Consider the following 13218-nt stretch of genomic DNA (forward strand, 5'->3'; position numbering starts at 1 on the left):
TCCCTAATTTATAAATTAAACTTTATCATAGGTATGTTTATATAGGAGAAAATACAGTTTATACAGGGTTTGGTACTATCTGAAATTTCAGGTATCCTCCATGAATAAAGTGGAACTTCCAAGTCAGCCGTCTGTACCCATGGAGGATTGGTTCTCAGATCCTCAGGGATACCAATATCGGCAGATGATCAAGTCCCTTGGTTGGCCCTCTGGATCTGAGAGTTCTGCATCCACAGACAAGGAGGGCTGACAATAGATCCCTTCTTCTGAAGGCATTCCAAGCCTTAGTTTTTCCCTCCCTTGTGGGAGAATTCAAGAGACACTGAGAATGAGAGAAACTATCACCAAACAGTTATCACTTCTACAGGCAAGGACCTTTATTCAACTGAGACTGCAGCATGAGGCTCCAGCCTCACGTCTACTCAGGCAAGTTCAGAAAAAGGTAATTCCTGCCCATCAAGAGTCATCTGAACATGTGACTCTGATAAAAGAACACACTCTAGAAACTGAAGGCTGTGCACATCAAATGAGGCCTAATGTTGCAACTCCCTGGTCACAGTAGGATGAATCTTCCCACAGAATCACATTTGGCGAAAGTCACTCCTTGGCTTGGAAGGGAGCTCTGCTGCCACTGGTTAACAAGGACATTTTCCCCTTGTTACCATCAGACCCTTGATGCTAGCTCAGCTGCCTAATGTCTTCTCTTTTGTGAGCTTAACTACTGCTGATGCCTACCTGTTTTTCATGATTCTTTTAAAAACTGACTTTGAGGGTGGGTGCAGTGGCTCACACCTGTAATCCCAGCCCTTAGGGAGGCTGAGGTGGGCGGATCACCTGAGGTCAGGAGTTCGAGACCAGCCTGGCCAACATGGTGAAACCCCGTCTCTACTAAAAATACAAAAATTAGCCAGGCGTGGTGGTGGGTGCCTGTAATCCCAGCTACTTGGGAGGCTGAGGCAGGAGAATTGCTTGAAACTGGGAGGTGGAGGCTGCAATGAGCCGAGATCATTCCACTGCACTCCAGCCCGGGTGAAAGAGTGAGACTCCATCACAAACAAACAAAAAACCCCCAAAAAACTGCCTTTGAAATATTTGCGTCCCAAATATTCTTGTCCTTGATGCTCAAGTCCTAGAGGCAAGATAAGCTCCTTGCTTTACCACTTAACCGTAGAAAGAAAAGCCACCCCACAAAAAATAGCCTTTATGCCACATTCAGGCGCCCATTCAGAGAGTGTTTTCCCTGAATCAGTGAATGAACATGAGAATCACCAGTCATATGGGCCTCTGTTAACATCTCCCAGAATGCATCTCGGTTATCTGTCCTCAAGAAAAATGCTGGGGCAGCTGAAGTGTTCATCAGGGGTTAAGGACAGATGGAAAATGCACTGCACACTTTTCTTGGCCTGAGCAAATAGTTAGGGGCTCCTGGCAGTGCCACATTCTCAGGTCTGGCCACAGACCTGGGCAATGCAAAGCAGTATCTGCTACTTTTGGGGAGAAACTAAGAGATAAATGCTAAGAGATAAATGCTATGTTTTGGCCGGGTGTGGTGGCTCACGCCTGTAATCCCAGTACTTTGGGAGGCTGAGGTGGGTGGATCACAAGGTCAGGGGTTCAAAACCAGCCTGGCCAACATGGTGAAACCCCATCTCTACTAAAAACACAAAAATCAGCTGGGCATGGTGGCACGTGCCTGTAGTTCCAGCTACTCAGGAGGCTGAGGCAGAAGAATTGCTTGAACCTGGGAGGCGGAGGTTGCAGTGAGCCAAGATTGCGCCACTGCACTCCTGCCTGGGTGACAAAGCAAGACTCTATCTCGGGAAAAAAAAAAAAGCTATGTTTTCAAAAACATATATATAATTTGAAGAACTACAATTTTTAGCTGTTTAGTTTTCCTATGTATTTATGTCAAGAGTAAATAAAAATCAGTCAAAGGAGAGGCCTTCCATCTACTTTTTTGCACACAGTCCATGGACAAGCTGAAATGTCATGGCCGTCAAGGAGCGGCCCCTAAATCCATCTTGCTCATGGACTATGCAATCCTTAGACAATACTGGATCTGAGGAACTGCAGTTCAAAGTCAGGAAGGCTGTACTTGTTTCTGTTCTTAGCTATTCTGCCAGGCATGGGAGGTCTGAATTCTCCCACAGGAATCCTCTGACCAGACAAGGGATGGACATGGTTAGAAAGCTGGGCAGGCTTTTAGAAAGGTGGGCAGCCTGGGAAACTCATGAGGAACAGGAACCGGTATTTGGTTCAAAGTGCTTGGAAGTCAAAGAGCAGGTCTGAGGTAGAGTAGGGTGTAACCAAAGTAGCAATTATGGAAAACAGCGGCAGTGTGGCAAGGTGTAGGGAGATGCCAGATGCTGAGGAAGAGATAAAGAGTGCTGGGTTTATGAGGAAGGGGTCACAGATCAGTGGCATGGCATGTCACATGAGGGCTGGCCTACGTGGCTTCTCACCTTTCAGGAATGTCTGAGGTCCCATCTGTAACACCCTGTTCTGCAGAAAGGGACTTCTCATCGGGCATCCCAACTTTCTCCAGGAAGCAAAGTGCTGGGTCTGCTCGCATGGCATTGTACCTTTCATAACCTGATCAAGAGTGGTGAGAAATGCCAGAAGTCATGTTAGAACTCACAATATTTGCTTTGGGCACTAGTCTTTTTGTTTTCCTTATTTAGTAAAGAACAAAACAAACACAAAAAAATAATTATTTAAGATTAATGAGATCCTATAAGACTATCAGGGAAAAATCCTGGTGCTAAAGCGGACACCTTTGAGTAGTGTTTGACCAACAAACAATGGCTTACGGAAATACTCAGTGTCCGTGAAAAGACAATTGTATAGATACACAATTCTGTTTGCTGCTTCCCGTCAGCTGGTTTTGCAACTTCTTCCCCCATCCTCAACTCTGGATACCTTGTTATATCCTTTATGGGCCTTGTTTTCTTACAGCTCATTTTTATCCCATGTGTTAGAAAGGGAAGGTGAACATGATGGATGGCAGGACTGAAATATAAAGAGAACTACGATGATTGTTTATTGCATTAAGACAGACCTGTGGCCTCTGTATCACAAACTCAGTACAAATCTTAATCCACACTGGCCAGGGCTTTGGAATTACTCCTCATCACACCCCAAAGTTAACAACAGACAGTGTTTTGACCCAGAAGAGGGGCCTCAAAAAGGAAGCAAAACAATTTTAAAAACCCTGATTTTGTTTGATAAAGTCCATGTGTGAGGATTTATTTTATTGAACCTAATGTACTCTTAGAATGAGACAGCATTTGGCCACATAAAAGGCAGAGTCCCCATCAGAGGAGATGGAAGAGCTGAGTGTAAATGAGAACCAGCCTGGCTCTTAGGAACAAACCTGATTTAACTGTGTTTGGTATTTCATTTCTATTTTGGTTTTTGTTCTCGTATCACTGTTGATGCAGTTGTATCCTTCAAGCTGTAGGTAGCACCTGGTTCTTTTCCCTGAGGAGCTGTGGGTAGCTGATCTTTTAATCCACAGTGGCTCTCCTGCCATCTCCATGACAGGTGCTGCCCACATGAGGTACCTGGCACGAGAAGCTCTGCAGTGCCTTATGTTCTTTACTCACTTACTCCTTATGGCAATGACTTGATTGCTCTAAGTCTCTCATGAGGTCGTGAGCTTCCTAGGAGCAGAACCTGTATCTGTTTTTGCTCATCATTATATAGTCAGTACCTAGCAAAGGGCCTGACACTGTACAGACTCAACAAACAACTGACCAGATGAGTCGGTTTTGCCTAGATTCTTTTCTCTTCCAATCACTGTTGTAGGAAGAAGAACCACTCTCACCCTTTCCCCACGTTCCTGCCCCACCTCACATCAAACAGAAAATTCCCCAATACTCCTGCTTTTAAGGAGGTTCCAGTCAGTTTCTCCACCTGCTTCTCATGAAGAGAGGGGTAATTTAAATGACAGGTGAGATGGTGAAATCCTTCCCTTACTGTCCCCTTACTACTGAGGGAGGCCAACTGTCCAGGAGTATACCACCTTCACACTCTGTGCTCAGGCATGGAGCAAGCTGCGACCCTCCCTGACCTGGGCAAGCTTCTATTCTGTAGACTTTCTCTTGTCATGTGTGGATCTGAAGCCTAGAGACAGATTCAGTATTTTTATTTCTCAATTAGCTGTGAAGCTGGAGGTGAGGAAGAATGACTCTTTCAGTCCCCTAGAAAACCCTAACAACTGTCCTGAAGAGAAGCCAGTAGGAGCTGCAACAGCAATACAAAGACAAAGAGCAACGTGACAGACCCATGAGGGGGTGTCGGCTGCCTGCCTCTTTTCACTTTTAGTCTATAAGCTGCTCTCTAAGAATATCAACAGAAATACTAAAGTCTGTATGTCAAGGAAAATTTCACACATCCAGGCTACCTTGGAGGGGCAGCAGTCACTCAACTCAACTGAGCTGTCAAGAGCATAATTTAGAATAGGTTTGCCACAGAAATCTTTTTGCTGCAGGCTAAAGCTCCAACCAAAAACTAAGCCAATGCTAATGGGGTCAGCTTGGAGATCGATCTATGGCTATATTCAACTCATTTAACAGGGTTACAGCAGGCTATGTCTGGAGTGGACTAAAAGATCCACAATCCCAGGCATGGTGGCTCATGCCTGTAATACCAGCACTTTAGGAGGCTGAGGCAAGAGGATTGTTTTGAGTCCAGGAGTTCGAGCCCAGCCTGGTCTGGGCAACATATGAGATCCCCTCTCTACAAAAAATTAAAAAAAAAAAAATTAGCCAGGCATGGTGGTGTGCACCTGTAGCCCCAGCTACTTGGGAGGCTGAGGTGGACAGATCACCTGAACCTGGGAGTTCAAGGCTACAGTGAGCTGTGATCACACCACTGTACTCCAGCCTGAGTGACAGAGTGAGACCCTGTCTCTTAAAAAAAATTCACAAAACCTCAGTCAATGAACAGTCATGTGTTTCTTAACAAAGAAAATGGTTGCAGCTCTACAGCTCATACTTAACCAAGGCATGCAGGTGAAGTGGAGCGGGCTTCCTGACACAATATCCCTGAAAAGTGAACACTAGACAGACTGGCTTTCTGAAAATGGCTAAGTATCACATCTCCAGAGCTGCTGAGTATCTGAGAAGCTGTCACCTGGTAAGACATGTTGTGTGGGCTTGGTTATACTGTGATAAGGGCGAAGGTTAGAAAGGGGTGGTCAGATGTGTTACCTAGATGAGGACATGTCTAAGCCTAAGCTCATGGAATAGGCAGCACCCAGGCAGGGGCAGGATCTGATATGGACTCTGGCGGGTGCCAAAGAGGATGGGCCCATGAGGCATCTGTCCAACCTCATCTAAGTTGACTCCAATGTAACCATCCAACTAAACTGATCTGGCCCTATGCAGAGTCTGCATTTATGGCTTAGGCTCAGTCTCCTAGCACTGAAAACAGAGGCTTTTTCTTCTCTTGTCTTTATAGCATTATCTGCTAAACTCATCCTGTACAATGAGACACTTCAGACACTGCACAAATCACCTTCAAGGCCTCTGCCCCTCAGCTGTAACTGTAAATTCCAAGTTCACCTCAACTGACAATCTGTGAGAATCTGAATGGAATTGAGTGATGAAGTGTCATCTTAACATCTCACAGGTGTGATCAGCAAACACAAATTAATTTATACTCCCCAAAACTGCTTCAACGAGCAGAAGAATTTGGGAGCGACCTTATGTATCATCTGGGCTGACTCTATCTCCAATATGAGACTAAGAGATCAACTGATTAATCCCAATACCCTGAACAGTGATTAGGGATTAGGAAACTAGAAGGTAGGGCACCAATAATAACCTGTCTTTTCCAGGTGAGAAGGCATCTTGGACCTCCTTAGATTCCTGTCCATTTTTACACATTCTAAGGCTATGTCCTTCACGTGAGAATTATTAATTATATCTTCCTGGTGAGTTGTATCTATCATCATTGTGTAATGACCCCCTTTCTTCCAAATTATGCTTTTTGCCTCACAGACTGTGTGTGATATTGATTTGCCTTACCGGGTTGTTAGTATTTTCTGGGGATGTCTTGTTTCACCTCTTGGATGTCAACCTCACTCTGTCCTCTAAGTCTCATCTTCTCTTTCATGTCTTCATCTTCTTTATCACTCAGGGATCTGTTTCTTTAGCTCTGCTTTCTTGGACCACAGAGCTTTTTCTTGCTTCCCTTTCCTGGAGGGGCAGCCCTTTCAAAGTCATGTTTTCCATTTCTGTGGGTATTAAAAACCCAGTCCTTCTGGTTCACTGTCATATTGGCCCCTAAGCTTTCAGTTCTGGCTTTAAATGACTTCTGCATTTGGGGACTTCCCTTATTTCTTCCAAGTCCTGATCCACCTTGGTTTTCTGTATGTCTATGGTGGGTGTGTTGGGGTGGGGGAGGAAGAAGTAGCAGCATGTAAATTCTACCTGCCATACTTCTGGGACTTCAGATGTGTTCTCTTTTCTCAGCATGTTGTTGCCATGCAGGGACTTGGCAATGTGCCCTAAAACCACCACTGAAATGAGACTCAGGGTCACTAGGCCTTCCCCCACAAACCAAATTCAGATGCTCTGGAATCTGGCTGCCTTTAGCAGCCTACTGTCTTCTGGGGTCCTTCCAAAACTAGGTTAAACCAAGTCTGGGTTGCACTGCGGTACCTTGTGACTAACAGGGAGATCACGCACTTCCTTCTACTTTGGAGCTGAGTTCTATCCCTGCACTGTCCAACAGAGGAGCCACTAGCTACATGGGGCTATTTAAATTTAAATTAATTAAAAGTACATAAAAATACACTTGCTCAGTTACATTAGTCACATTTTAAGTGCTCAATAGCCACACAGGGCTAGTGGCTTCCACAGCAGACAGTGCAGAATTAGGGCATGTCTATGATTGCATGTAGTTCTACCGGACAGCACCGCTTTAGCCTAACCCCGGCGGTTTGACAAAGGGTTCTCAGCAGCACTGCACCACCTGAAGCCTGCATTCTCAATACCAGTATCCAAGTTTTGAGTGGATTCCAAATTAAAATATGTATAGGCATGGTTGTTACTTAAATATAGCTGGTTAGCCTGTAAAAGTTGAAGAATTCCCTTTAAAGAATACGTATTAGAAAGTTAACAACCTTCCAAAGGCAGAGTAATATGGGAGAGTGGAATAGCACCCAGCACCTATTATGTACCAAGCACTGTTCTAGGTGGTCTACATTTAATGTAATATTTAATCTTTAAACAACCCCTAGGTAGGCTGTTTTGATACTATACCTCCTCCATTGTATAAGTGAGAAAATAAGAGAAGCTTATGACTTGCCCAATGTCACACATTTTAGTAAGTAGTGGAGTTGATAGCTAAAGCCAGGTATACCTAACTCTTTTCACTTTAAACCTTGCTCCTCATTTTAAAATTTCTGTTGATTCACCTGGCAGGGAAAGTGTGTATCAGGCATACTATGGGTGACTATCACTTGACACTTTCATCATTCATTTTAATGGCTGGCAGTTGGCTGAAAGCAAGGGCAGTTGTTTCAAACACTGCCAGAGGTGAAGAAAGGGAGCACTTACTTCAGTTTTTCCAAGTGTTTAAAAAACCTCTCAGTCCCCTTTAGTGGCTCAATTACCACATTTTTAAAAAGACAGTCTATGCTATCTTCTATGCTTAGTTTTTAAAATGCCAGTGGGGTAAAAGATACACACTAGGAAGATGTAGATTATCGAGAATGACCTTATAATTCTGCATATATAAGAAATGCTGAAACTTAGCATTTCCCGCCATTTATTTACTCCTTCATTCAAGGTGTCTACTATGTGCCATGCACTGGGACTATTAGAGGCAGTCCCATATCCGACAGCATGGACAGGCGAGGGAGGAAGATATACACCAAACAGGTTCTTTGTGGCCTGAATGTTCCTCAATAATATAAAATTCGCAGTATTATTGTGAGCCATACATTCATCTGGTGGAAATTCCAAGAGGGCAGCTGTGAAGCTCTACTTTTTAAGATGAATGTGTAACAGAATGATAGAGTTTTGCAGGAACATGCCGAGCTTAGTTGGAGGGGCTGAACTCATCCTTCCTGGGGGAAACTGATACAGAAGGGAACGCCTTCAGAGAAATACACACCATGCTTGAACACGCCAATGAGAAGTGACTTATCGGCTTCAGCATCCCACCAGTCCACTGGGATCTCCATGTAGTCGATGTCAGGCAGAGGTACATCCAGCTCCCTAGGGAAGGAAGGGTGTAGACTCAAAACAACACAAAAGCTACTGGTCCAACCCTGGTATTAGGCCACAGTCCTACTGGCATGCTGAGATGCTAAAGTAACAATAAACAAAAGGGTTAGGAAGGCTGTGGGTCATTGTTTCTCAACCAGGGCTTTGCATGAGAATCACTTAGGCAGTGATTTAAGCATAAGTACTTGATTTCCAGGCTCTACCTTTGACAGACTGACACAGTCTTGAAGCACCTCTTGGAGAACGCAATGTCAGTTGGTCCAGGGTGGCATCTTGGGATCCATATGTATAGAGTTCTAATGTGCACCTTATGTGAACCACAGCAAAGGCCATTGATATATTGGACATCTGAAGGTAGAGCTTCCCCAAGAGTTGAATTCATACATGATTGTATGTTTAAAATAGTGCCCAAATCATCGTGGCTCAGTATGTTGCCTCAACAAGTAGAGATCTTACGCACCATTTAAGACCAAGAGTCCACACTGGAACAAGTCGGTATATCAGGAGGGCCTTTCAGAGGGTAAGTGCCATAACAGGTGGCACCTCCTGGCAGTGGTCTATTAGATCAAAATTGATCAAAAACTGCATTGTTCCTGGCCAAAGGGATGCACATAACTCACCCCAGGGCACAGACATGCAGGTGTTAGCCCCTCTCTGAGTTTCTGTAACGTGTTTGGAGAGCTCACATAAACCCTAAGTTCACTGTCTTCATTCATCTGAGTACAGTCCTCGCTCTTTAAGGCTTTGAGGTTTAGGGAATAGCATGCATCTGGATGGCTTCTCCCTCCCCCTCCAGCTGCCTCTGAAGTTTCTTCTTCCGTCAGACTCTTACTGTGACACAGGACCGAATGCTCCCTACTAGTCCCAGCTCCCTCTGTGGGGATAGTGTTTCCTGACCCCCACCTTTCCAGGGATCCATGGCTCTGCCTGCCCAGTGCCATGGCTGAATGACTTTTATGGGATGAACTGCTGTTCATGCCTCATGGCAACTTCTCCACAAGAAGGTATTCAACCTGAAGAGCAGCAGTAAGAGACAGAGGAACGCAGAGGAAGGAAGAGGGTGGGCAGCAGACTTACTCTCTCTGTGTTCTACCTAGCTACCACCTATGACTTCCTACACATGACAGCGGTAAGTTCAGAGTACTTCTGCCAGGTAACACTTGATGGATATTATCAGGTGGAATTCTGCTGCATTTATACGACTCAAATTGAACCTGTCTACCAAACACACAACCTCCCCATCCCTGCTGGAAATTACAATAGTGACTCTGAAAGGCATAGAAAGTGGTAACAGTTGCTGAGGAGCCTGGCTCTGATTACAAGTTGCCCCATGGGTCGGGTTGTCTATGTCCCTCTCTCTCTTACTTTAGTGCTCCTATGACCTCTACAGACACTAGCATTGCTCAATGGAAAGCAAGAGAAAGAAGAAACCACGGCCCCAGGTAATCTCAACACAAAGTCCAAATATCAGCACTCTTGGTATTCTGTAGGAATGACAGGTGTGCACAGGGCTAGCAAACTGCACCTGGTGATCCCATTTATAAACTGGGGCTTTCTGACAGCTTTATTAAGTGGAAGCTGAGAACCTGGTAGCCTCAATCTTGGAAATCTTGGGATACTCCCACAGGATTCTATAGCTTTCCAAACACTAATTTGCAAAACTAACATGCAACAAAATGAATAGGCCGCACATATTATTAATATGATTAGCAAATAAAGAAAATATGTATATGAGTACTAAGGCAAAGAACAGGATGGTGGGTAAAACTTCCAGTCTATACATGTCAGATCAGTAACCGACACTCGTTCTACAGTAAATGACTGTTTTAAAAGAAAATTTATAACACTTTTGAGGGAAATAAAATGAACTAACTCACCAAAAGCTAGGTTTCTAAGAAATGGTTTTCTCCTTTATTTTATTTGTAGATGACCTGATGAATTGTCCTTATTCTACTTGCCTGTTCTCCCATCTGGGACACCGGTCCTGGGCAGGGGGTAGGAGGAACATGGGCCTCTTTAAGCACAGGCAAGTTTGGCCAGCTCCATGAATAGGCATTTTATGTCAATTCTTTAACGTTGATATGTTAAGTTTCATTTGCTTTACCTGGCAGGAGATCCTTCAAATGCTTTCTCAGCTGCTTCTCCCAGTATTTCAGCTTTTAGGTAGTACAGCATCCGGACTCGCAAAAGTACTCTATGAAAGGTGAACACATTAATGCAAACAAATTAGAACCCATAACTGTCTGTGAACCACATCCCCAAGTTAACACTGGGAAATTCTGGGCATTCCCATGTAGTTAATATTATGAAGTAATAGAAGAGAAGGCACTAGAAAAACAAAACATTATGGCAGACATTATTATGATCATTCCTATTTTACAAAAAAAAATGACCACATCAGTTATCTGTTAGATCATCCTGTGAGCCACAGGAGGCAGCAGGAACAGACAGCTCTTCTCATCTTTAAGAGTACTCACCCCTTCCATGTGGCCACAGTGACCTCTTAGGCAGAGGTGGCTTCCGAGAGGCCAGCTACTGAAGAGTGAGCAGGGTGAACAGTGGTGTTTTCAAACAGTTTCACTTGTACACAGTTAAATGAATAAATGAATAAAGGCAAGTGTCTATTTTTCGTGGCAATATGTCTTCTCTTCTGAGGTGCTCAATTCATTTTTATTCTGTATGGACCACACTCAGGCTCCAAGGGAATGCATCAAACATGTCTCAGACAAAGCAATTAAGCAAGTATTTGCTGGGCAACTACTATATGCTCTGCATCATGCCGGGTGCTATAGGTATATAACAAAAGTAATGCCTTTCGCCATCGGATGACCCTTGCCCACAAGCCGTTATCGTGCTCTTGGGCATCCCGGCCTGCAGAGTCATGAGCCAATACCCAGTCTGTGGTATTCTGTTATAGCAGCAGAAAATGGACTATGACAAAGGGGTAAGGCCTCTGAGAAAGCATCATTTCTACCTATTAGATCTGGGTAGAAAGTGCCACTGTGGGCTCAAGTTGTAGGTGGAAACACACAAAGTTAGAACTTATAGATTGGAAAGAACCCTTATTATCTCTGGTATAACATTTCTCATCTCAGCTGTCAATCAACTCAAATAATTCTGAGAGTATTTTTTTTTTTTTTTGAGATGGAGTTTTGCTCTTGTCGCCCAGGCTGGAGTGCAATGGCGCGATCTTGGCTCACTGCAACCTCCCCCTCCTGGGTTCAAGCGGTTCTCCTGCCTCAGCCTCCCGAGTAGCTGGGATTACAGGTGCCCACCACCACATTCGGCTAATTTTTTATATTTTTAGTAGAGATGGGGTTTCACCATGTTGGCCAGGCTGGTCTTGAACTCCTGATCTCAGGTGATTCACCCGCCCCGGCCTCCCAAAGTGCTGGGATTATAGGCGTGAACCACTGCACCCAACCTGTTTGTTTATTTATTTATTTTTAAAGCCCAGAGAATAAGAACTCTTAAAAATTTACAACCACTGCCAATCCTTAATTTGTAGATGGTCGTAGCTGTCAGCTTTAGTAAAAAGTGGAACAGAATGTCAGAGTCCTGCCTGCTGAGACTTAGCTCAATTAGAGTAGGGCTTTCCTGAAAATGTCTGTCTCCCTAAGACAGGGAGAGCTGTTTCCATTTCTATAAAGAGAAACAAATGTGTTGACGTCTAACAATATCTGCAGCATGAGAGAACAGAATTGAAAGCCAATAGTATTCAATTCTCCTCCAAATGGAAGGGAAATCAATTCAGAGGATGGATGGACAATTCCTTATAGCCAGCCCCCTCCTCCAAGCTGGTGTCTGAACTCAAAGGGACACACAACTGCAGCAGGTTTGTAACACCCTTGGTTTAGCCAAAGAAAACAATCCATTAATATTTTGGGTGGCGACATATCCTTTTTTCTTTTTAAAAGTATTTTACTGATGTGAAATATACTTCCATAATGTGCACACTGCAAACATGTATAGCTTAATGAATTCCTACAAACAAAACATACATGTGTATTCAGCATCTAGATCAGGAAGCAGAATATTCTCCCTGAAGTCCCCTTGGTATTCCCTTACAGTTACATCCCATCCCCAGTGGATAACCATTATCCTGTCTGCTTTTAGCTTAGATTTGAAGCAGTGCTTTTTAACTTTTTAAAGGTTCTTTTGATGACAATTTCATGCCTAAAATAATATAGTACTAATAATAACAACACTTTGAGTGCTTACTGCTGTCTCTGAAGAGCTTGTACTTTTGTGTACATTAGTTTTTATTACAGTATTGGGCATGAGACTTATCTTCAAATATTTGAGGTGATCAAGGGAAAGGATTATACTTTATCTGTAAAAGAAAAAAAACAAAACAAAACACCCCACAACCCAACAACTACAAAATCATTAAGAAGATGTTATAGGGAGACGGGAAAACCCAAGCAAAAGCTCTTAACCTATAAAGTAATAAACTCTTGATTACCAGAGGTGTGCGACCGGAGGCCCTCACACTGCCTACCAGGAATGCTGGGAAGATAACTCTTGCATGACCTTGACATGAATTAGATCATTTCCAAGGGTCAGATACATTGCACAGTGGTGCAAATATCCACATGCAAACTTGCCATTGTTTTGTCGCTGAATGCCCCAAGTCCCCAAGACTAAACTAAATATGAACAAAGTTTTGTTTTTCAATCAGTTTTTTTTTTTTTTGCTGTCTCCATCCCACCCGACCCCAGCTGTTAGCCTACAGATACAAAGCATACTATCTCAAATGCATGCCTATCAAATAACTGAAGGCCATGAATGGCAACAGCAAACTGGAAGAGGTGGCTGAGAGTGGCAGCGACCAAGGCCACAATGTTCTGCCCTTGTTAATGTGACCTCAGGGGCAGAGGATGACCTGACTGGTTTTTGAGAGTCAAAATAGAAAAATCCTCAGGGGTATATACAATGCAGTGGCAGAGGGGCCAGGTTCTGCGGGAGAGCAGAGGTA

At 43.9% G+C, this 13218-nt stretch overlaps 1 protein-coding gene across 16 annotated transcripts in view; it reads right to left on the reverse strand.

The window, feature by feature from the left end:
• The window catches only part of CHD6 (chromodomain helicase DNA binding protein 6), a 216295-nt gene that overhangs the window by 35455 nt on the left and 167622 nt on the right, over window positions 1-13218 (reverse strand). For 15 of the 16 annotated variants that reach the window (NM_032221.5, XM_047440549.1, XM_047440545.1 and 12 more), the window contains 3 exons: window positions 10345-10434; window positions 8128-8231; window positions 2463-2592 (listed from right to left, as the gene is read on the reverse strand). In NM_032221.5, coding sequence (NP_115597.3) covers window positions 2463-2592; window positions 8128-8231; window positions 10345-10434 — 324 coding nt within the window. Of the gene's footprint in view, window positions 1-2462; window positions 2593-8127; window positions 8232-10344; window positions 10435-13218 lie in introns of those variants that run through there. The other variant, XM_005260576.5, reaches the window with a different exon arrangement.

The sequence above is a fragment of the Homo sapiens genome, chromosome 20 (genome assembly GCF_000001405.40).
Source record: "Homo sapiens chromosome 20, GRCh38.p14 Primary Assembly".
Taxonomy (NCBI): Eukaryota; Metazoa; Chordata; class Mammalia; order Primates; family Hominidae; genus Homo; species Homo sapiens.